General features: G+C 36.7%; 1 protein-coding gene and 1 pseudogene across 10 annotated transcripts in view; both read right to left on the bottom strand.

The window, feature by feature from the left end:
- LRRC7 (leucine rich repeat containing 7) overlaps positions 1–25,425 on the bottom strand; it is a 576,443-nt gene that overhangs the window by 253,700 nt on the left and 297,318 nt on the right. For 4 of the 10 annotated variants that reach the window (NM_001366837.3, NM_001366836.3, NM_001366840.1 and 1 more), the window contains one exon: positions 15,661–17,198. The exons of the other annotated variants lie outside the window; for them this stretch is intronic. In NM_001366837.3, coding sequence (NP_001353766.1) covers positions 17,192–17,198 — 7 coding nt within the window. In that variant the 3' untranslated portion in view covers positions 15,661–17,191. Of the gene's footprint in view, positions 1–15,660; positions 17,199–25,425 lie in introns of those variants that run through there. 10 annotated transcript variants of the gene reach the window in all.
- RN7SL538P (RNA, 7SL, cytoplasmic 538, pseudogene) lies at positions 10,770–11,073 on the bottom strand (annotated as a pseudogene).

Here is a 25,425-nt window from a genome sequence, read left to right as displayed (position 1 = left end):
ATGCCATCTGGGACATTCAAAGCTAAAGAGGAAATATCAATGCCTGCCATCAAAGCTTCAAAGGACAGTCTGACTCGCTTATTAGAGGCTAATGCCACTGGTAAATTAAAGTTAAAGCCAATGCTCATTTACCATTCTGAAAATCTTAGGAGCCTTAAGAATTATGCTAAATCTATTCTGCATGTGCTTTAGAAATGGAACAACAAAGTCTGGATGACAACACCTCTGTTTACATGGTTTGCTGAATATTTTAAGACTACTGTTGAGACCTACTGCTCAGAAACAAAGATTCCTTTCAAAATATACTGTTCATTGACAATGCACCTAGTCACCCAAAAGCTCCCAAGGAGATTTACAAGATTAGTGTTGTTTTTATGCCTGTGAATACAACATCCATTCTGCTGTTAATGGGTCAAGGAGTAATTTTGACTTTCAAGCCTTATTATTTAAGAAATACATTTTGTAGAGCCAGATAGTGATTCCTCACATGGACCTGGGCAAAGTAAATTGAAAACATTCTGGAGAGGATTCACCATTCTAGATGCCATTAACAGCAATCATAATTTATGAGAGGAGATCAAACTATCAACATTAACATAAGTTTGGAAGAAATTGATTCCAACCCTCATGGATGACTTTGAGGGGTTTAAGACTTCAGTGTAGAAAGTAATTTCAATGTGGTAGAAAGAGATCTAAAATTAGAAGTGGAGCCTGAAGATGTGACTGAATTGCTGCAATCTCATAAAACTTTAACAGACAGGAAATTGCTTCTTATGGATGATCTAAGAAAGTGATTTCTTTCCTCCTCCTCCTCCTCCTCCTCCTCTCCTTCTTCTTCTCTATCTCCTTACTCTACTTTTAGACAGGGTCTCACTCTGTCTTCCAGGCTGGAGTGAGTGGCACAGTCTTGACTCACTGAAGCCTTAACCAGCCAGGCTCAAGTGATCCTCCCACCTCAGCCTCCTGAGTAGCTGGGACTACAGGTGCATGACACCACACCTAGCTAATTTTGTATATTTTTGTAGAGACAGAGCTTTGGCGTGTTGCCCAGGTTGATAGCGAACTTCTGGGCTGAAGTAATCCACCTGCTTTAGCCTCCCATAGTGCTGGGATTACAGGAGTGAGTCACTGCACCTAGCGAAAGTGGTTTCTTGAGATGGAATCTACTCCTGGTAAAGATGCTGTGAACATTGTTGAAATGACAAGAAAGAATTCAGAATATTACATAAACTTATTAATAAAGTAGCCACAAATGTTTGAGAGGATAGACTCAAATTTTGAAAGAAGTTCTACTGTAGGTAAAATGCTATCAAATAGCATCACATGCTACAGAGAAATCTTAGCATCTTAAAGAGAAAGATGTTCTAGAGAAATCTTTCATGAAAGGAAGAGTCAATCAATGCAGCAAACTTCATTGTTGTCTTATTTTAAGAAATTGCCGGAGCCACCATAACCTTAATCAACCACCACCCTGATCAGTCAGCAGTCACTAACATCAAGGAAAGACCCTCTATCAACAAAAATATTACTACTTGCTGAAGCATCAGAAGATTGTTAGAATTTTTAGCAATAAAGTATTTTTTCATTAGGATATGTATATTGTTTTTAAAGACATAATGCTATTGTACACTTAATAGACTACAGTATATTGTAAACATAATGTTTATATGCAGTGGAAAACAATAGTTTCATTGCAATATTTGCTTTATTGTGGTGGTGTGAAACTGAGTCTGCAATATCTCTGAGGTATGACTGTACTTAAGATCCACTCTCTTAGCATATTTCAAGTACTCAATATATTCTTATGCTGTACATTAGGTCTCCAGTGTGTATCCATTTTACAACTGCAAGTTTGTCTCCTTTGGGCTACATCTCCCCATCTTCCCTACCCCCAAACAGCTGGTAACCACTGTTCTACTCTCGGCTTCTGTCTGTTTTTTTTTTAGATTCCACCTATAAATGAGATCATGTAGTATTTTTCTTTCTGTGTTTGGCTTATTTCACTTAGAAAAATGTCCTCAGGAGGAGGAGCCAAGATGGCCGAATAGGAACAGCTCCGGTATACAGCTCCCAGCGTGAGCGACGCAGAAGACGGGTGATTTCTGCATTTCCATCTGAGGTACCGGGTTCATCTCACTAGGGAGTGCCAGACAGTGGGTGCAGGTCAGTGGGTGCGCGCACCGTGCGCGAGCCAAAGCAGGGCGAGGCATTGCCTCACTTGGGAAGTGCAAGGGTCGGGGAGTTCCCTTTCCAAGTCAAAGAAAGGGGTGACGGACGCACCTGGAAAATCGGGTCACTCCCACCCGAATATTGCGCTTTTCAGACTGGCTTAAAAAACGGCGCACCATGAGATTATATCCCGCACCTGGATCCGAGGGTCCTACGCCCACAGAGTCTCGCTGATTGCTAGCACAGCAGTCTGAGATCAAACTGCAAGGAGGCAGTGAGGCTGGGGGAGGGGCGACCGCCATTGCCCAGGCTTGCTTAGGTAAACAAAGCAGCCAGGAAGCTCAAACTGGGTGGAGCCCACCACAGCTCAAGGAGGCCTGCCTGCCTCTGTAGGCGCCACCTCTGGAGACAGGGCACAGACAAACAAAAAGACAGCAGTAACCTCTGCAGACTTAAATGTCCCTGTCTGACAGCTTTGAAGGGAGCAGTGGTTCTCCCAACACGCAGCTGGAGATCTGAGAACGGGCAGACTGCCTCCTCAAGTGGGTCCCTGACCCCTGACCCCTGAGCAGCCTAACTGAGAGGCACCCCCCAGCAGGGGCACACTGACACCTCACACAGCAGGGTATTCCAACAGACCTGCAGCTGAGGGTCCTGTCTGTTAGAAGGAAAACTAACAAACAGAAAGGACATCCACACCAAAAACCCATCTGTACATCACCATCATCAAAGACCAAAAGTAGATAAAACCACAAAGATGGGGAAAAAACAGAACAGAAAAACTGGAAACTCTAAAACACAGAGTGCCTCTCCTCCTCCAAAGGAACGCAGTTCCTCACCAGCAACGGAACAAAGCTGGACAGAGAATGACTTTGGCGAGCTGAGAGAAGAAGGCTTCAGACGATCAAATTACTCTGAGCTATGGGAGGACATTCAAACCAAAGGCAAAGAAGTTGAAAACTTTGAAAAAAATTTAGACGAATGTATAACTAGAATAACCAATAGAGAGAAGTGCTTAAAGGAGCTGATGGAGCTGAAAACCAAGGCTCGAGAACTACGTGAAGAATGCAGAAGCCTCAGGAGCCAATGCGATCAACTGGAAGAAAGGGTATCAGCAATGGAAGATGAAATGAATGAAATGAAGCGAGAAGGGAAGTTTAGAGAAAAAAGAATAAAAAGAAATGAGCAAAGCCTCCAAGAAATATGGGACTATGTGAAAAGACCAAATCTACGTCTGATTGGTGTACCTGAAAGTGATGGGGAGAATGGAACCAAGTTGGAAAACACTCTGCAGGATATTATCCAGGAGAACTTCCCCAATCTAGCAAGGCAGGCCAACGTTCAGATTCAGGAAATACAGAGAACGCCACAAAGATACTCCTCGAGAAGAGCAACTCCAAGACACATAATTGTCAGATTCACCAAAGTTGAAATGTAGGAAAAAATGTTAAGGGCAGCCAGAGAGAAAGGTCGGGTTACCCACAAAGGGAAGCCCATCAGACTAACAGCGGATCTCTCGGCAGAAACCCTACAAGCCACAAGGGAGTGGGGGCCAATTTTCAACATTCTTAAAGAAAAGAATTTTCGACCCAGAATTTCATATCCAGCCAAACTAAGCTTCATAAGTGAAGGAGAAATAAAATACTTTACAGACAAGCAAATGCTGAGAGATTTTGTCACCACCAGGCCTGCCCTAAAAGAGCTCCTGAAGGAAGCGCTAAACATGGAAAGGAACAACCAGTACCAGTCGCTGCAAAATCATGCCAAAATGTAAAGACCATCGAGACTAGGAAGAAACTGCATCAACTAATGAGCAAAATCACCAGCTAACATCATAATGACAGGATCAAATTCACACATAACAATATTAACTTTAAATGTAAATGGGCTAAATGCTCCAATTAAAAGACACAGACTGGCAAATTGGATAAAGAGTCAAGACCCATCAGTGTGCTGTATTCAGGAAACCCATCTCACGTGCAGAGACACACATAAGCTCAAAATAAAAGGATGGAGGAAGATCTACCAAACAAATGGAAAACCAAAAAAGGCAGGGCTTGCAATCCTAGTCTCTGATAAAACAGACTTTAAACCAACAAAGATCAAAAGAGACAAAGAAGGCCATTACATAATGGTAAAGGGATCAATTCAACAAGAAGAGCTAACTATCCTAAATATATATGCACCCAATACAGGAGCACCCAGATTCGTAAAGCAAGTCCTGAGTGACCTACAAAGAGACTTAGACTCCCACACATTAACAATGGGAGACTTTAATACCCCACTGTCAACATTAGACAGATAAACGAGACAGAAAGTTAACAAGGATACCCAGGAATTGAACTCAGCTCTGCACCAACCGGACCTAATAGACATCTACAGAACTCTCCACCCCAAATCAACAGAATATACATTTTTTTCAGCACCACACCACACCTATTCCAAAATTGACCACATACTTGGAAGTAAAGCACTCCTCAGCAAATGTAAAAGAACAGAGATTATAACAAACTGTCTCTCAGACCACAGTGCAATCAAACTAGAACTCAGGACTAACAAACTCACTCAAAACTGCTCAACTACATGGAAACTGAACAAACTGCTCCTGAATGACTACTGGATACATAACGAAATGAAGGCAGAAATAAAGATGTTCTTTGAAACTAACGAGAACAAAGACACAACATACCAGAATCTCTGGGACACATTCAAAGCAGTGTGTAGAGGGAAATTTATAGCACTAAATGCCCACAAGAGAAAGCAGGAAAGATCCAAAATTGACACCCTAACATCACAATTAAAAGAACTAGAAAAGCAAGAGCAAACACATTCAAAAGCTAGCAGAAGGCAAGAAATAACTAAAATCAGAGCAGAACTGAAGGAAATAGAGACACAAAAAACCCTTCAAAAAATTAATGAATCCAGGAGCTGGTTTTTTGCAAGGATCAACAAAACTGATAGACTGCTAGCAAGACTAATAAAGAAAAAAAGAGAGAAGAATCAAATAGACACAGTAAAAAATGATAAAGGGGATATCACCACCGATCCCACAGAAATACAAACTACCATCAGAGAATACTACAAACACCTCTACGCAAATAAACTAGAAAATCTAGAAGAAATGGATAAATTCCTCGAAACATACACTCTCCCAAGACTAAACCAGGAAGAAGTTGAATCTCTGAATAGACCAATAACAGGAGCTGAAATTGTGGCAATAATCAATAGTTTACCAACCAAAAAGAGTCCAGGACCAGATGGATTCACAGCTGAATTCTACCAGAGGTACAAGGAGGAACTGGTACCATTCCTTCTGAAACTATTCCAATCAATAGAAAAAGAGGGAATCCTCCCTAACTCATTTTATGAGGCCGGCATCATTCTGATACCAAAGCCGGGCAGAGACACAACCAAAAAAGAGAATTTTAGACCAATATCCTTGATGAACATTGATGCAAAAATCCTCAATAAAATACTGGCAAACCGAATCCAGCAGCACATCAAAAAGCTTACCCACCATGATCAAGTGGGCTTCATCCCTGTGATGCAAGGCTGGTTCAATATACACAAATCAATAAATGTAATCCAGCATATAAACAGAGCCAAAGACAAAAACCACATGATTATCTCAATAGATGCAGAAAAAGCCTTTGACAAAATTCAAAAACCCTTCATGCTAAAAATTCTCAATAAATTAGGTATTGATGGGACGTATTTCAAAATAATAAGAGCTACCTATGACAAACCCACAGCCAATATCATACTGAATGGGCAAAAACTGGAAGCATTCCCTTTGAAAACTGGCACAAGACAGGGATGCCCTCTCTCACCACTCCTATTCAACATAGTGTTGGAAGTTCTGGCCAGGGCAATTAGGCAGGAGAAGGAAATAAAGGCTATTCAATTAGGAAAAGAGGAAGTCAAATTGTCCCTGTTTGCAGACGACATGATTGTATATCTAGAAAACCCCATTGTCTCAGCCCAAAATCGCCTTAAGGTGATAAGCAACTTCAGCAAAGTCTCAGGATACAAAATCAATGTACAAAAATCACAAGCATTCTTATACACCAACAACATACAAACAGAGAGCCAAATCATGAGTGAACTCCCATTCACAATTGCTTCAAAGAGAATAAAATACCTAGGAATCCAACTTACAAGGGATGTGAAGGACCTCTTCAAGGAGAACTACAAACCACTGCTCAATGAAATAAAAGAAGATACAAACAAATGGAAGAACATTCCATGCTCATGGGTAGGAAGAATCAATATCGTGAAAATGGCCATACTGCCCAAGGTAATTTACAGATTCAATGCCATCCCCATCAAGCTACCAATGACTTTCTTCACAGAATTGGAAAAAACTACTTTAAAGTTCATATGGAACCAAAAAAGAGCCCACATCGCCAAGGCAATCCTAAGCCAAAAGAACAAAGCTGGAGGCATCACACTACCTGACTTCAAACTATACTACAAGGCTACAGTAACCAAAACAGCATGGTACTGGTACCAAAACAGAGATATAGATCAATGGAACAGAACAGAGCCCTCAGAAATAATGCCGCATATCTACAACTATCTGATCTTTGACAAACCTGAGAAAAACAAGCAATGGGGAAAGGATTCCCTATTTAATACATGGTGCTGGGAAAACTGGCTAGCCATATGTAGAAAGCTGAAACTGGATCCCTTCCTTACACCTTATACAAAAATCAATTCAAGATGGATTAAAGACTTAAACGTTAGACCTAAAACCATAAAAACCCTAGAAGAAAACCTAGGCATTACCATTCCGGACATAGGCATGGGCAAGGACTTCATGTCTAAAACACCAAAAGCAATGGCAACAAAAGACAAAATTGACAAATGGGATCTAATTAAACTAAAGAGCTTTTGCACAGCAAAACAAACTACCATCAGAGTGAACAGGCAACCTACAAAATGGGAGAAAATTTTCACAACCTACTCATCTGACAAAGAGCTAATATCCAGAATCTACAATGAACTCAAACAAATTTACAAGAAAAAAACAAACAACCCCATCAAAAAGTGGGTGAAGGACATGAACAGACACTTCTCAAAAGAAGACATTTATGCAGCCAAAAAACACATGAAAAAATGCTCATCATCATTGGCCATCAGAGAAATGCAAATCAAAACCACAATGAGATACCATCTCACACCAGGTAGAATGGCAATCATTAAAAAGTCAGGAAACAACAGGTGCTGGAGAGGATGTGGAGAAATAGGAACACTTTTACACTGTTGGTGGGACTGTAAACTAGTTCAACCATTGTGGAAGTCAGTGTGGTGATTCCTCAGGGATCTAGAATTAGAAATACCATTTGACCCAGCCATCCCATTACTGGGTATATACCCAAAGGAATATAAATCATGCTGCTATAAAGACACATGCACACGTATGTTTATTGTGGCATTATTCACAATAGCAAAGACTTGGAACCAACCCAAATGTCCAACAATGATAAACTGGATTAAGAAAATGTGGCACATATACACCATGGAATACTATGCAGCCATAAAAAATGATAAGTTCATGTCCTTTGTAGGGACATGGATGAAATTGGAAATCATCATTCTCAGTAAACTATCGCAAGAACAAAAAACCAAACACCGCATATTCTCACTCATAGGTGGGAATTGAGCAATGAGATCACATGGACACAGGAAGGGGAATATCACACTCTGGATACTGTGGTGGGGTGGGGGGCGGGGGAGGGATAGCATTGGGAGATATACCTAATGCTAGATGACGGGTTAGTGGGTGCAGCACACCAGCATGGCACATGTATACATATGTAACTAACCTGCACAATGTGCACATGTACCCTAAAACATAAAGTATAATTAAAAAAAAAAAAAAAGAAAAATGTCCTCTAGTTTCATCCATGTTGTTACAAATGGTAGAATCTCTGTTTTTAAGGCTAAATGATATTTATATAGTGTTTATATTTGTGTGTGTAGGTATGTACATATATAATGCAATTTCTTTATCCATTCATCAGTCAATAGGCATTTACGTTGTTTCCATATTTTGGCTATTGTGAATAATCCTGCAATGAACATGGGACTGCAAATCTCTCTTTGATTTTTTTATTTTCTTTGGTTATAATATATACAGAAGGGGAATTGCTGGATCATATGGTAGTTTTAACTTTTTAAGGAATCTTCGTACCGTTTTCTGTAATGGCTGTACCAATTTACATTCTCAGCAGTTTACCTTTTCTCTACTCTCTTTCCAATATCTAGTTATCTCTAGTCTTCTTGATAATACCCATCCTAACTGGTATACTGTGATAACTCATGGCTTTGATTTGCATTTTCCTGATGATTAGTGATGTTGAACATCTTCTCATATACTTGTTGTCATTCATAAGTCTTCTTTGGAAAAATGTTTATTTACATCCTTTGTCGATTCCATTTTGTAAACTGGGTTATTTTTTGTTTGCTTTTTTTTTTTTTTTGCTATTCAGTCGTATGAACTCTTAAAATATATTTTGGATATTAACTTCTTATTAGATATATAGTTTGCAAATATTTTCTCCCCATCTATAGGGTGCCTTGTATTTGTTCTTTTTTTTTTTTTTTTAATCTGGAGACAGGGTCTCACTCTGTCACCCAGGCTGGAGTGCAGTGGTGCAGTCATGGCTCACTGCAGTCTTGTTCTCCTCGGTTTCAGTGATCCTCCCACCTCAGCCTCCCAAGTAGCTGAGACCACAAGCATGCACTACCACTCTTGGTTAATTTTGTTTTTTTTTTTGTAGAGATGGGGATCTTACTATGTTGCCCAGACTAGTCTTGAACTCTGGCCTCAGTGATCCTCCTGCCTTGGCCTCCTAAAGTTCTGAGATTATAGGTGCGAGTCACCATACCCAGCCTGCCTTTTTATTTTGTTGACTGTTTCATTTGCTGTGTAAAAACCTTTTTGTTTGAGTTAGTCTCATTTGTTTTTCTTTTGTTGCCTGAGCTTTTGGTGTCATAATAATTCAAACGGAAGTGACAGCTATACGCATATTAGTTGAATGATGCTAACAATTTCAAACTCAACAATGTTCTAGCAGCATGATTAGAACTAATAGCACATACAAGTACTGGTTTCATTGGAAATTTTGATAGGAATAATATTGGAAATAGTTTCATATTTTTATAGATACAGGGACTGATTTTAGACATTTTAATTTTGTTGTTATTGCATATAATAGTACTTCTGACACTCAGCAGAAGATTGCATTTCCTCTGATTGCCATATCCCCTCTATTCATTTAACAAATCTAACTTTGCACAAAGCACTTTTCTATCCAGTGGAGCTATAATGATGAATAAGACATAGTCCCGCTTTCAAAGAGCTCAAGAAAGCAGACCTTGAAACAACTAATTAAAATATGATGTGATAACATTTTAGAAATTTTATATCCAAAGTCCCATGTGCACATGTTTGGGGATCCAGGGAAATCTTCAAAGAGGCATTGACATTTGGACTGGATCTTAGTCAAACTAATAAAGGGAAGCAGATTTATAAGTCAATCAAAAACAGTTATAAATGCAAGATGCATTATTCTGGCTTTGCAATTTGTTGCTAGTTGCTTTGAACATGGCTGTGTCTTTTTTTTCTGGAAAATACTTTTGAAATTAAACCACAAAGCCACAGAGTAAAGCCCTGATTTAAGGAACAACCTAGAAGCAGTTTTTGTAAAACTTCTTCTTTTTTTCCTTATATATGACAAGAATAAGCTACACTCTGATGAAAGTCCTTTGAATTTCACTTCCAAAAATGTCTCCCAATTTTGTTTACTTTTTCTTCCCTATTATCAATAATACTCTCCTTCTTTTGTCATGATTACAGCAGCTGGTCTCCCTGTCCTTCGTATTCACTCCCATGATATTTTCATAAAGGCTACTTAGAGAAACATAGACCCCCAAATGGCAATTTCTGTCCTGAGGTTATTGTCAACATTTAAGAGGATCTAAGAAGTTGGCTCACAGCACTTCTTACTGGTATTTTCTATCCGACTGCATAGCACACCAAAACTCCTAGGAAAACCTTACTCTCCTACCCAAAGAAGTCTCTTTCCTGACATCACGTCTACCCCATCTTCTGCCCTGATCATCCCCTTGCTCAGCGCTGAAGTCCTACAGTGCAAGCTCCTGATGTCCTCTCACCTCCAGCTCCCACAAGGAGCCCACGAGAGAGAATAATTCTCCTCCTTTGACTTTTATTTGAGAGCATCTTGCAGTGACTGTTGTCTTTTCTTCTCTCAGGAAGTGGACACAGAGAACAAAGCTAAGTGGGAAAGGAGGAAGGAAAAATATAAAAATCTCCATTTTATCCCATCCCATTTTAATTTGCCTCTTTTTCTCCCCTACCCAGCGTATGCAAACATTTCTCCAGTGTCTCGGAGCATTTCCCGGAGAAATACCAACTTCCTGTAATTAAAACACATTCGTATTAGTAGTTAACCTCCTCTCTTCTAAGGAATAGAGTCTTAGTTTTATGGGTGGTAAAATAGCTCCTTGTTACTTTAACAGCAGCAAACAAGACCAACCTTCAGGGTTCCGGGTTTGTCCCGTTCACCCTGACCAAGGCAGGGGACCCTGACTCCATGGCTTAGGGAATGAATCTGCAGTCCTTAACCTGGGATTGTTCCTGAGAATTTCTGTTCAGTATGGAAATTTTGACCTGCTCCGTTTCCGACCTGAGTTGGTTCACCCCTCCTTAGAAAACCGAGTGGTCCCCGCTCCAGGAAGGTCACCATATTGATGCCAAACTTAGTGTTGCCACCCGATCAGCATAATACACTACAGCCTAGAACTCCTGGGGTCAAGAAATCCTCCTGCCTCAGTCTCCTGAGTAGCTGGGACTACAGGCATGTGCCACCCCGCCTGGATGTTCTGCAGTATTTCCAACCAGCGCTGAGAAATCTCTCATTCCTACCGAGGCCACAGCGGACCCCTGGGCCCCTCTAGGAACCGTGCTTGGCAGGACCACTTCCCACTCCTAGGGGTTTGGAGATGTGGTTTCTCGAGAGAGGGTCCTTTCAGTAGCCTCTCAGAAACCGTCTTTGCTGCTGTCTTCTGAGACTCCAATTTCATTCATCAGAGAGTTCTTGGCCTGAGGCCAGTCATGACATTAGGCCTGGAAATTTTTGTCAGATTTCCTACTTAGTGGGTTCTTTGTTTTTGAGTTTGTCCCTTCCTCGTAACAACTAAGTGGCAGGCATATTCTGGCCAGTGCGCAGTCTTTTTTTTTTTTTTTTTTTTTTTTAAAGCAGTTTTAGGTTTACAGCAAAATTGAGAGGAAAGCACAGAGATTTCTCATATACTCCCCACCCGAACACATGCATAGCTTTCCCTAATATTCACATTCCCGGCCTGAGTGGTACATTGTTTCAACTGATAAACTACATCTACACATTATAGTCACCCAAAGTCCACAGTTTACATTAGGGTTCACTCTCAGTGTACATTTGATGGGTTTGGACAAATGTATAATGACATGTATCCATCATGGATGGATTATAATATATATTTGACGGATTTGGACAAATGTACACCATATATATAAATATATGTATATATACATTTTATAATATATATTTATATATAAATATTATACATAGCAGAGTAAATATATATCACACACAGCTTGTTCTTTTATATATATATACATTTATTTATATATATAGTATCATTATCCATCATGCAGAGAGTCTTCACTGCCCTAAAATCAAAGTCTGTTTATCCCATTAGCTGCATTATAAACCTGTGATTTTTCTAGTAACTAGTAGATCACACAAACAACTCCAAAATTCGCTTTATCTTCAGTTCTACAGTAACAGTCAAATCAGCAAGGCAGCCATTCTCAGTTAGTGGGGTGGATCTTGAATATAGACTCAGAAAATCTGCCAGAAGCCTTGTCTTCTCCTGCAGAAAGAATTTTTAAATTTTTACGACTTGAATGACCTCATCATGCCACCTAAGTCTGTTTCTTCATCTGAACAAGCATTCTTAAATCAGTCGTGCATTCTCTAAAAACACTGTATCTCCAATCTCAGTGTGACTATCAAAATGTCCCATTGGCTCCACAGTGGATTTTCAAAGATAATACAGCTTGTTCTAGATGCACTTTTGCCCCTTTATGTTTTAAATGCAGATGTCAGTCTGTCACTATTTAAGAGCATTCTTGTTTTTTTTTTTTTTTCTAAGATAAGGATTCTTTGGAGAAGTGACTTTACTTCTCCAAGAAACTAATGAAGCTTGTGATACCTGTAGTATCTAGAATCTAGTAGTAACGACAAACAGGAAGTCCAATCTTTACAAATACCTGTTTTAAATCTTTAAGGTAGGAAGGCAATACAGTTCAAATCTTTAGTCTTCAGCAAATTTTATTAAAATATCTTGACTTGTTTTCTTCTACTTTCACATAACTGCACTTCTGATTCTTCTACTCCAGCTGACTCTTTTTCCCTGCCATCCTGTCCTATCTTGGTCCCTCAATTTCTTGTCTCCTCTACACCTTTGATAGTCTCACACCACATCCTTATCACACGTGTTGTTTTCCCAGTGTTCATAGTCTCTTTAGGAGTAAAATATGTCTATTCTGTTTGTCTAATAATAATCTGGCAGAAACCTCACTACAGGTTATGCCAGATTATTATGGGTTATGCTAAGTGTTATGCTAAGTGAAAGGAACCAGACATAAAAGATGTCTACATGAATAATTCTACTTATATGAAATGTTCAGAAAAGGACAATGTATAAAGACAGAAAGCAGTTTAGTAGTTACCTGGGGCTAGGGTAGGAAAGGAGATTAGAATGGGGATTAACTGTGAATAAGCAGGAAGAACTTGGGCACTTGGATAATAGAAATGGCCAAAATTAAATTGTGGTGATAATTGCACTTCTCTATAAATGTATTAAAAATATTGAATTGTACACTTAAAATGAGTTCATTCTATGGTATGTATTTCACACACCTCAATAAAACTGGTTTTTTTTAAAAAAAGAATTGTCTAAGTAGCTTTAGAGACAGGGTCTTGTTCTGTTGCCCAGGCTGGAGTGCAGTGGTGTGATCATAGCTCATTGTAGCCTCAAACTCTTGGCCTCAAGTGATCCTCCTGCCTTGGCCTCTCAAAGCAATGGGATTATAGGTGTACACCACTACACTTGGCCCAGAGTGGCTTTTGTTATTTGCTTGCTTAGCAAGGAGTTTGAATTCTTACTTAGCCAATGTTATCCCATCACTTACAAATCTAACGTGTCATTCCGCTGCTTAAAACCATTTCATCAAAACCTCTCTATTGCCCAGAAAATAAAGTCTAACCATGTCATGAGAGCCCCTTCACAGTTTCTTCTCTGTCTACCTCATGGTTACTCCTTCCTCGTGCTTTCTATTTTACATATCAACCCCTTGTAACATGGGGTTTTCTCTATGAGTAACACTCATTTTCCTTTTGCCCATTTTAAAATTCCAATTTATGGTTTGAAAGACTCCTCAGGCTTCACCTGGACTTTACAGATAGGACTAAGAAATATAACTTCTCTGTACTCTTTCTGGGACTTCATCACATCTCCATAATCTTATATACTATGCTGTACTGAATATAATGCTTCACTTGTCTCTGTTCCTTATCAGACCTTAAGCTTCTAAACAGCAGGGACTCCTTGTACATGGTGTTTCTAGTGTTAATCCTTGTGCTTGACACACAGTCAGTCCTCAACAAATGTTTATTGAATTGGATTGAATTAAAGATTTGCATTTCTCTAAAATTTGCCCAAGCACAAGAGGCGATGAAGAGCTTGGATTTCAGATGTTCTATCTATATGTAAAATACAGCTGAAATCAAAGCAAGTTGTACGTGTGTGAGGGTTGGAAGAATTACTGGTTTAATAAAAGATTTTTACCTCATTGAGATTTGAGCAAGACGTAGTTTCCACATTCTCATGCTGTTCTAAACCCATCTGTTCTGGAATTATTATTTTTACTCTACTAGACCTCCAGATGCTATATTTTTGCCCTGGTAATAGTATTTTTTATGCCAATGAATAAATATAGACTATCAGTCTTTATTAACTTATATTGATTGCTAGTGGCAGAAACAAGTGACACAAATAAAACTGACTATGCCTAACATGCCTTCCCTTTAAAAACTGATAAAATAATCATAATTTTTGGTGACAAAATTTAGATCTGCCAGTTTTGGCTCAAGAAAAGTTGATTTGATTAAAAAGATAAGACAAAATAGCAGGAACCTTAATTGGCAAAATTTGATATGGACAAAAAATATGGCTGGTAGAATACAGTTATGAAATTCTTAACAAAGTTCCAGAAACCCGTAACTTCTGAGAAATATACGGGCATATGTATTCTATTCTCTGAGGCACTCCTAAAAGGCATAACAACTGGCTTCTCTTCATGAGATGCCAATAAAATGATGAAAGGCAATACAGAGTGTTGTTCACATCATGCCCCACGTTCCTGAGAGTAGTCTAATATTATGAAGAAGGAAAGGGTTGTATGGTATTTGTATCGTACAGAATGGGTAGCCACATACTGTACTGCCTTCTTCTTAAGGGGTCGTTTTTGTTGTTGTTTTTCTTTACTGAATATGTTTAGCCAAATTTTGGCTTAATATGCATATCCTACTACTCATGAATGTAAAATCAATAGAATATATTTATAAAAGACAGTTCAATACAATTATTTCAATATAGATGCATATAAAAATATTTCATCTTATTATCATTTTACCTGTTTTTTTTAAAAAGTATATATTGAGGCTGAAAATATATGAAACGTCACAGATAAACACAGGCAGTATTTTGTTAAACTGGTATGCATAATTCCTCTTAGAATAAAAGATTAGAGTCACACAAATATTATGAATGAATTTACAATCACTTATGATTGTTGAAGCACTAACCAGGACATATAACATGGACAGTGGGCAAAATAAATCATATATTATATTCAATTGTATTTATTTTAACCTTTTACTTTTATAATCACTTCTGCTGATTAAGTTTTAAAGAACTTTAGCTTTGATAACAGTTATTCCACTTACTTGTTAATTTCTTTTCATTAAGAAAAGTTTCCTTTATGCTACACATACAAGTTTTCAATTGTTATATATTATCGAGACCAGAAAGGCAACATGGTTTACTGCAGTAAGGTTAATTATTCAACAGTCTGCACACTGATGCAGACTTTTATTGCTGCTGTATAAGATTTTTAAGCTTTAATAATGAAAGGTCCAGTTTCTTCCTTAGAACATCATAAAGTCAAAACAGCAATGTTTCTTTAATCTTTAAAGCTACTTTCACATAGAATGTTTTAAGCAATCTCTTTTTAAGTAATCTCTAAAATAAATTTCGGAAAGCTGAATAAATTGGTGGCATTTGAAGGGCACTGAGAATTCATAAGAACACATTATAAAACTACACTAAGATAGTGCAACTTATTCTACAGCAATGTCAGGAATTTACATTTTTTATTTTTAGAATAGCAATATACCTTTTAATTTTTGAGAGACATATGCAATATATGTGACAATGACAGAAGTCAATTAGCATAGAGTATACACAGCTAAGAACAAGGTGGTACAAACACAGTAAGCAGACTTAAAATTTTTACATATAGATCTTCATAAGTACTCATGGAAAAATCAGCATTTACACAATTTGAACAAAAAACCAACATCTACTTTCAGATATCTGTTTTATACAAAGAGTTAGGCATTCTAAGGCAATTTTATATTTATATATTTCACATAATTGATATTCATAAAACAGAATAGAAATATTCAATAAAGTACATTTCAGTTCCATAGCATAGGTTTTACAAAAAAATGTTTCTTTCCTAGGCAGTAAAATGAAATAGAACCAAAAAAATAGGAAAAGCCCGTAAGTGCAATGTGTCCTGCTCACACCTGTTTTATAAAAAGAACCTTTGAATTGTATTTAATCAAGCAATAGCTCCAACACAATCATTGTAAATTATTTGTATTTTGACTTGTTCCAAAAAGGAGTTAACATGGGATGAAGAATGAATTTGCTGTACTGCATTAGGCATCAGCAAGATGGTGACCTTGTATGTTGAATTTCAAGCTTTTCAAAATTTCAATATGAAATATATCCTACTTCTAAATTGTATGTATAAAATGTTAAAAGCAAATGAACCCATTATGTCGATTGTTATTTATTTAGCAAAAGTATCATTACAGAGATTCATTTTCTATGCAAATTGAAATGCTATAAGCCATTGAACTGCATGAAAAGCCAATATGGTTAATTAACAAATGTATTTTAGAGCTACAAAATAACTGTTCCACATTAAATTACATAAGATGAAAGGATACATAAAATCAATCAATCATCAGCATTTCATATTTTGACTTGTGCCATCTGGGAACTTTGCAAAATAAGTCCACAATGGAACATCATCAGGGAGTATGACAGAAAAACGAGCAATTATATTCGGTCTCTGAAGAATTTAACAAACTAGAGAAATTATCTTATTTACTGCATTAGGATGACTTTTAAATTATGGCTTAGTTTGATCCCATTTAAAAATATATACAAAAATTATACACAAAAGCACCTTAACATAACAAATAGTGAAATCAATTAGATAAAAATATGGGTATTAATGTTTTTCTGAGACTGATAAAATTTCATATTCATTGAAAGTTATGGCAACTGAACACATTTGGAAAAAAATCAGGTCTCTCTATATTAGTCAGAAATGTCATCGTTAAACTTTAACAAAGACCAAACATTTTGTAGATACTAGGCAGTAAGAAGGCAGCCCCCATCAGCAGGTAGCGCACCAAAAATGTTTGGTTTCATAATATAGTTTGGGAGAACTACCTCTACAAAGTCTATTCGTGCTGATGCTCCTGATGCTGCCATTTCTGGTGCCCGAAAAGCTGCTCCCTCCACATCCTCTGTTGTAGGTGTCACTGTATAGTCTCAGGCGATTGGGCAAGGGGCACACTCTGGATCTTCAGATGCTAAGATGAAAAAAATCAATTTCAATGCCCAAAAGATGGAACTCCTAATGCAGAAGGTGACTAAAATAATTACCAATTGGTTTACAGTACAGGGAGGTAGAAAGTTTACTTGTTTTAATGTAATTCTGTAGAAATAGGTTTTAAGTAATATTTTTGTAAAGAGGCATAGTTCTAGGATTAGGAAAAAATGTTAGATAAAATAAAAACAGAAAATTAAACTCAGAGTGGAATTGGGCCAGATGACGAAAAACATGCACACCCCCTGAAAGGAGCAAGCAAAACTTTCATATGATGATCATCAGGTGATAAGCCATTGTCATGAAAATTACTTGCTTACACTATCACTTCCAAGCTTCTACTCATTTCCAATAACTCTCTGAGATAACAAGCATGATTAACGCATACTGTTTAAGGCATAATAGAAATGGACACATTGATATTTTACTATGAATTTTAATGTCCCCTACACTCTCTGAAAATGACAAAATTTATGAATTTCCCTTCTATGAAATTTTCTTCTCCAGTATAGCAGCTCAAATCATATTAAGATAATTCAGTTTAATCTCCATAGTGTTTGAAAAAGATCTCATATGAGAAAACATCATTGAAAGACACCAATGAGAGAGGTATATGTAAATGAACAAACTGTAGAAGAACACATTTTATTACATTAAAAGAATTTTGACTGAAATAATGTTTTGGGTTGTAAACAAATAATTATTCTTCCCATTTATTTTTCTGTTAAATATTTAAATAGCAACTTTTGCCAGGCATCTCCATGTTTTAATGAAAATATGTGTAATTTGGATCTTGAGAGGAAATTTTAAAAACCATTGACTTGAATGCAGAATGATAAATGTATATATGAGAACAAAATCATTTATAAAAATATTTATCATCTCTAGATACAGCAATAGCTCAAATTAATAAAGTATGGGTATTTGGAATTAAATCATTTAAGTAACCACCTTTTTAATTTAAGAAATTGGCATTTTTATAACAGTTGCTTTTACAGCTTGTGCACCTGACTCCATTATATTTGATATACTGTAGAGTAACAAATGATCATAAGTCATGACAGATTCTTATTGAACATAATTTTTCAGCAGAAACCATCCTGAATAAATTAATCATGCTATTACTCTACTTTAAGTTTCTCCCCATTTCTTCCAGAAAAGCCACCAATCACATTTCAATTAATAACTTACACATATTTTGTTTACAATTTTTTATGTACTACATTTATTCAAACTAATTAAATGCTACAACTTTACCAACTTGTACTAATTTAAACGTTGGATATGCTCAGACAAATGCAATTATGGCTACACAGAATATTAAAGGATGGTTGAACACATTAGCTGCATTAGAAATTTCTTTTTGATCCATCTAAAGAGACTTGTATATTTTCCATTAAAAAATGAAAATATAATGTTTCATTACAGTATTTTTGCATACAACTGAAATTAGTGCACATGAATCTTAAAATATTTTCACAATAGAATGTAAGAAGTGTAGTTCTAAAATCCATATAATTATTACTTACATTAGAAAAATTTGGCAAATACTCTAAAGGTTGAACAATTTCATGTATATAATAGGTACACTGGGAACATACATAGATTATTTGAACAAAAATTACTTAGCTTCATGTTTAATTGACAGGCAATACATAAACAGATTCCTTGTGAGAATATTTTGTCTCATGGATTTTGCTATAAGTTGGGTTTTATGTGTTTATTTTTGGATGGAATATGAAATAGTCATTTAAAAGAGGTGTTTACAGATTGATATAGCCATTTCACATGATTATCTTAACTCTCTCAATGTATGTTTATAAAGTTCACATTCTTATTTTGCTGATATAAGGAAAATAACAGCATGTGTAAAATATTACAAAGAATATTATATTTTTATATTTTAAATACTCGACTATATTTTATAAATTACACATGGATCATGCTACATAGCTCAAATTCAAACACAAACTGAATATAATTATGCATTCGGTGCATTTTTGAATGATTCTGAAACGTGCAACTTAATCCTGCTGAACTTAAAACAATTGAATCTTAGTGTTTTGTCTCAGATCTCTCTGCCATATCATTTGATCTTCTCATAGGGCATATAGATTATTCAAAAATAAAATTGTCTAACAGAACAGTAATATAGCAATCAATAGTCTCAGCCCACTATTGAACCAGCCAAAATTTAACACCAGCTGAAAGCTTAAGGTATTACAGCATACAATTTGGCTTTGAAGATAGGGCATACGTATACATCATTTTCTTTAAACATCAAGGTGATCAATACATAAATCTTTATAATGGCAAGCAACATTTTATTCTTAAAATACATTGTATAAACTTTCCCAATTTATGCATCATTTGTGGTATAACATTATTAAAAGTCAATGAATTAAGAATATATTTTTATTACAAAATGCAGTCATCAGCTAGAGCAGTCTTTAGCTAACCATTAAGAAAATTTACATCATATAATTGTTGGCATATAAAAGTTTGAGCTAAATACATGCAATTGTGTTCAAGCTACGTCATGCTTGCTCTAAGACATACCTTATAACATTTTCAAATATTTTGTTGATATGTTAAAGTGTTTCAAAAGGCTTAATAAAAAATGGAAGCATAATTATCTATGGCTTCCAAGCCTCTACAGAAGAGGGAGTGAGTGCTCTAAGAGGTGGAAAATGGAGGGAGTGATAGAATGTTGGGAGAATTCAAGAAATAATTTTAAGAGCTAACTTATAATTTGGGTCTTTATTTCTCCATAAGCGTTTACTATACAAAAAAAGAGAAGGAATTCTAGGCATCGGGAATTGCATGTATACATTTATTAAAACTTTAAAGGAAATAACTTATTAGGAATGGTGAGATATTTTTTTCATAAGGGAGCTTAATATGGAGGGGATTGTTGGGAGATGAAACAATTTGCCTTTTGTCCCTATACACCTATTTCTATACCTCACTGTTTTTTAATTCAATCTCAAAGAAGGAGTCCATCTACTCAGGTAAAATTCTTGCTTCTATACTTGATACCAGGCTCAATCAACCTCTTCTATGAAGGACCTGGTTTGCTAAATTTTCCCTTTTCTTCTTTGGCATTATTCTCTCTACTGGCTCCTTAACCTTGGGCTGTGTGTACTCGACACCTCTGCTACCTCCTCTTCCACACCTAACCTGTAAACCTGATAGCTAGCACACGTTGACATTTATTTCTTGTTCACTGAACTAAAGTTTATTGAGCATCTACTGTGTGTAGGCAATGTACTAAACCTTCTCCCCTGCTGAAAAGGGCAGTCTATCTTACTTCCTCACCAACCATTCATTCATTGCCCCACTGCTCTCTGAATTTAGAGCCCATCCACTTATCACACCTGCTTTGGTAACGTAAGATGAAAGCTAGAACTGACTCCCACATTTGCTGTTCTCAGGCTGAACTTAGGCAAGATATTTGACTGTCTTGAGATATAATCTTTGCAATCTGTAAAATGGACATAGTGACAGTTTCCTTGATCTATTATAATGAATCTCAAAATGAAATATCATACACATGCCATGCTTTATCCATTGGCTAGCACATGAAAGCCTAAGGAATTGTTATTAGGTATAAATGTCCAAAAATCCTTCTGATTTCAAATCCAGCTAACATTTATCAATCTTTACCTTTGGGATCTCTATTGATTATTCCCTATATCAAAGCTCTCTACTCTCTTGGACTCTATGATAAGTGCCTTTCCTGCTTCACCTCATACTTTACTGTCTCTTTCAGGGGCTTGTTCTCTGCCTGTCCCATAAATGTTGGTTTTCTTTTCTTTTAAGTATATTGTTCTTATCACTCGGTATGTGAGGATGGGCTCTCATAGTTTCACATAACATATGAGAATAGTAAAGACAAAATCTAGACTTCCAGCCCAATTATCTGTCTTTGTGCTTCAGAGTCCTCTATCTAACTGTATTTCAGGTAATGTAATTGGATTCCTCAAACTGAATTCATCATTTCCTCTCTGAACAAGCTTCTTACTTTGGATTTTTTTTTAACCTTCATTGATGATGTCACCATCTACTGGGTCATTCACATCAGAAATCCAGAGACCTAGATTAGGCTTCTCCCTCTCATTTCTAACATCCAAGTAACCTTAATCCTGTGCCAATTTTATTTCCTAAATATTTCAGTAATTTGTCCCTTTCTCTCCATCTCTGTTAACAAAGTTCTATAGAATAATCCGAGTTTTGCCATGATTCCATGATTATTACAATAACCTATTGATTTATCTCTTCTTTCTCAAAACTCCACATGATTACCAAATGAAATTTAACCACATCACTCCCCGTTGTGGGCTGAGTTGTGTTCCCTCAAAATTCATAGGTTGAAATTTCAATTCCTGGTGCCACAGAATAAGACTATATTGAAGATAAGGTATTTAAAGCAGCATTTAAGTTAAAATGAGGTCACTAGGGTGGACCGTAATCCAATATGAGTGATATCTTTATACAAACAGGAGATTAAGATATATATATATATATGTACATATGTACATATATACATACATATATAGATAGATAGATAGATAGAGAGAGAAATCATGTAAAGACATGGGGAGAAGATGGCCATTCACAAGCCAAGGAGAGCGCCTTCAGAAGAAACCAACCTTGCTGACACCTTGATATTGGACTTCTGGCCTCCAGAACTATAAGAAGATAAATTTCTATTGTTTAGTCCAACAAGTCTGTGGCACTTTGTTATGGCAGTCCTAGCAAATGAATACATGCATTATGTATATTTCTTCAAGAGTTTCCCAGAGCACATAGGATATAATTTTAATGTAGCAAACCCCCACAGTGTGACCATCTCTCCCTATTCAGCTTCCTCTCTGATGACTCTCTGCCATCATTCTATACTTCACCAACTCTTAACTGCTTATAGTTTCAAGTACACACTATATTCCTCACCTTTGTACCTCTGCTAACACCGCTCTCTTCATCTGACTCAACTCTATCAGTTCTTTAGACTCAGTTTAATCAATATCTTTCCAAGAGCCTATCCTTACCCTAAAATGACTTTTAAGAAATGCACATAGAAAACTTGTAAAATATTGATTCATAGAAAAAAAAGAAAAATTACCATAAACTCTTAACCCTAATGTGAGCATTATAACTGTTTAATTATTTTCCTTCCATCTTTTTAAGGCCCATTTTATTTAAATAATAGAAATTTTATTGTACAAAATTTTGCATTTTTAAATTTGATTTAATATTATCTTTTGAGCATTGTCCCATCATTAAAAAACAATTTTAATGGCTTCATAATATAGTCCACCATGTTGGCTTACTTCAATAAATCTAATTATACTTCTATAACCAGAAATTCAGAAGATGTTTTTGATTGTTCTGGGCGTAAAATAATAAATGGTATGGTATGATTCTCATACCTCTAACTCTAGACCTCTCTCTGGTCTCTGGATCTGTGTATCTCTTGGACCTCTTAATTTTACTTTTATGGAAGTAAAATTTTACTTAATTTAATTTTATGGAATTTTACTAAAACTTCACATATTCAAAATGAAACTCATTATTTTAATCTAGTACCTGTCCTATCCTCTAAGTTTCTTCAAACTTTTTGCATCTGTTTATAGCATAATAATTCACCCAAGCATCAAGCACCAAGTCTTCCAAGTTAACAACCAGTGTGTTATCCTTGATTTCTCTTTTCCTACAACCTTTCTCAATTCAAACTCAGTCATTTACTAAATGTTTCGACTCTATCTCCTAAGCATACCTTGTATCTTTCCCCTGTATTCCACATTCCACTGCCATTGATTTAAATTGGTTCTCGTAATTTCCAGGCTATTGAAATGGTCTCTAAACCCATCCTTTTGTCTTTAAACTCCTCAATTCCACCTTCCTCAGATTTGCTTCATAACTGTTCGTTACCCTTGAAAAATGCAAACCTGATGATGTCACTCCTAGCTTAATGTTCTTCAGTGGATCATTGCATCCTTCAAAACCAAGTTCCAATCCTTTCGTATGGCTCTGTACTAGGTACCTTATGTATAATGTTATTCAGTCTTTCTCACAAACACCTGAGCGAATCAGCCTGAGTTTTCTATTTTACATCAGTGCTTCTCAGAAAACTATATTGTGATTATTAGTTGTGAGTCTGTGTACCTGATTCCATCCCAAGATTGGAAATTTGATAGAAGAATCTATAAAAACTAAAAATATATAACATGTCTAAATACCTATGTTGGCAATATCTTCACTAAAGGTTCAATGTAGGAAGAATATTAAAAGAGAGAGGAGACTAAAGAATAAAGAACTTGTAATAAAATCATAATCAGAACGAAAATAAAAACTATTTTTTCACATTTCTAAATTCCTTTGACATTGAGGTGTATGATAATTTTATAAAGTTCTCTGTAATAGAGACTTTGCTAGTTTATTTATTCCAGTGTCTCAAAGAGTCTGAAAAATATATGACATTTTACTCCTACTGTGAGCTTAATATATATAAACTTTCCAAGGCTTAGTTGATTAAGAAATGTTGGAAAAACAATAGATACATTGCTAAAAATATTATTATTCTAAAAATAACTCATAAAATCACAAGCAGTGATAAATAGAGGTACACATTCATCATTTCTAACTGGAAATTTAATGGAGCCTTGGCAGTGAGTAATCATTACCAAAGGAGCACTAATGCAGAACTGACATTCAGTGCTAATGAATTAATTTTGAGTCTAATTGAGGGGAAACTTTGCTTTGAATGACACCACTATAAGGCATGCTTATTGCTATGATTTTTATTATTATGATGTTTAAGAATGTTCTGATGCTTTCATTTTATAAGATGTAAATATCCTCTTATTTAGCCACAATTATAGCAAGAAGATTTAGGAATAGAAAATGATAAATAACCCTTGGAATCAGAAGGTCCATGCTTGCAAAGTCTGAATGCCATCAGATTCTAACTTCCAAATATTCTTTAAGTTCACTTTGGGAGGGTAAAACGATATACCCTTTCATCACCAAGCCTGCTGCTGAGTTCACACTTTGCTGGTTCTCCACTTTCCCTCCAGTTTGATGCTCCACTTGCAGACCCTAGTCCTCTTCCACCTTTGACACAACAACTCTGTCTCCTTTCAAAACCACAGCTCCCATAAAGAGCTCTTAGCCTTAGTGGAGATAAAGTAAGGAGAAGATTCCTCTTTCTCTCACTTTCACCATCTATTATTGTTTTCTTTTCAGGTGCAGTGATTTCAAAATAGACAAACACAACAAACCTTTATCATTAGAAGACTCACCCTCCTGGGCTCTTCCTTTCCAACATTTGAGTGTTAGAAATAATAATATACTAAAGCAAGAGCATTGTGTTGAATTTATCTTGTGCTTCATTCTTTTGCCATTTGAGAATGTTTCATCTTGCCCAATGGTAACTGATCCACTATTGAAAGTTACAGGTACCTTCAGACATAGTTAACTATTTCTTTCCAAACTTTCTATCTGCCACAAAATGTTATTTTCCATTTGGCAGAGACACCTAGGGAGCTTTGTTTTCACTCATTACTGCTGGTGAATCTGAGGTTATCCTGGCCAGGTCACTCCTGAGGTGACTGGTATTTGTTCAATAGCGCTGTTTATCTTTATCACTTACATAAAAGGAACGGTCGGGCCGGGCGCGGTAGCTCACGCCTGTAATCCCAGCACTTTGGGAGGCTGAGGCGGGCAGATCACGAGGTCAGGAGATCAAGACTATCCTGGCTAATGCGGTGAAACCCCGTCTCTACTAAAAACACAAAAAATTAGTTGGGCATGGTGGCGGGCGCCTGTAGTCCCAGCCACTCGGGAGGCTGAGGCAGGAGAATGGCGTGAACCCGGGAGGCAGAGCTTGCAGTGAGCAGAGATCGGGCCACTGCACTCCATCCAGCCTGGGGCACTGAGCGGGACTCCGTTTCAAAAAAAAAAAAAAAAAAAAAAAAAGGAACTGTCTTCAGCAGCTTGCTTATTCGGATGCTCTCAAGGGCCTTAGTTCCTTAGCTGTAGGAATCTGGTGCCTATTAGTGTTGGCACTTCAAAAGTTCACCTTAGCTGTATTCTTATAGCTACCCTTAGCTCGTTTTTTCTGATAGGCATCATGCAACCGAGTGCCTGAAACTGAGTACATTTTAAACGAATACTGGCTGCATGTTGTGCAGATGTCGTATTGACCA

This window comes from Homo sapiens, chromosome 1 (assembly GCF_000001405.40).
Source record: "Homo sapiens chromosome 1, GRCh38.p14 Primary Assembly".
NCBI classification, from domain to species: domain Eukaryota; kingdom Metazoa; phylum Chordata; class Mammalia; order Primates; family Hominidae; genus Homo; species Homo sapiens.
The sequence above is the reverse complement of the archived record's forward strand: the minus strand, read 5'-3'. Positions and strand labels throughout refer to the sequence as shown.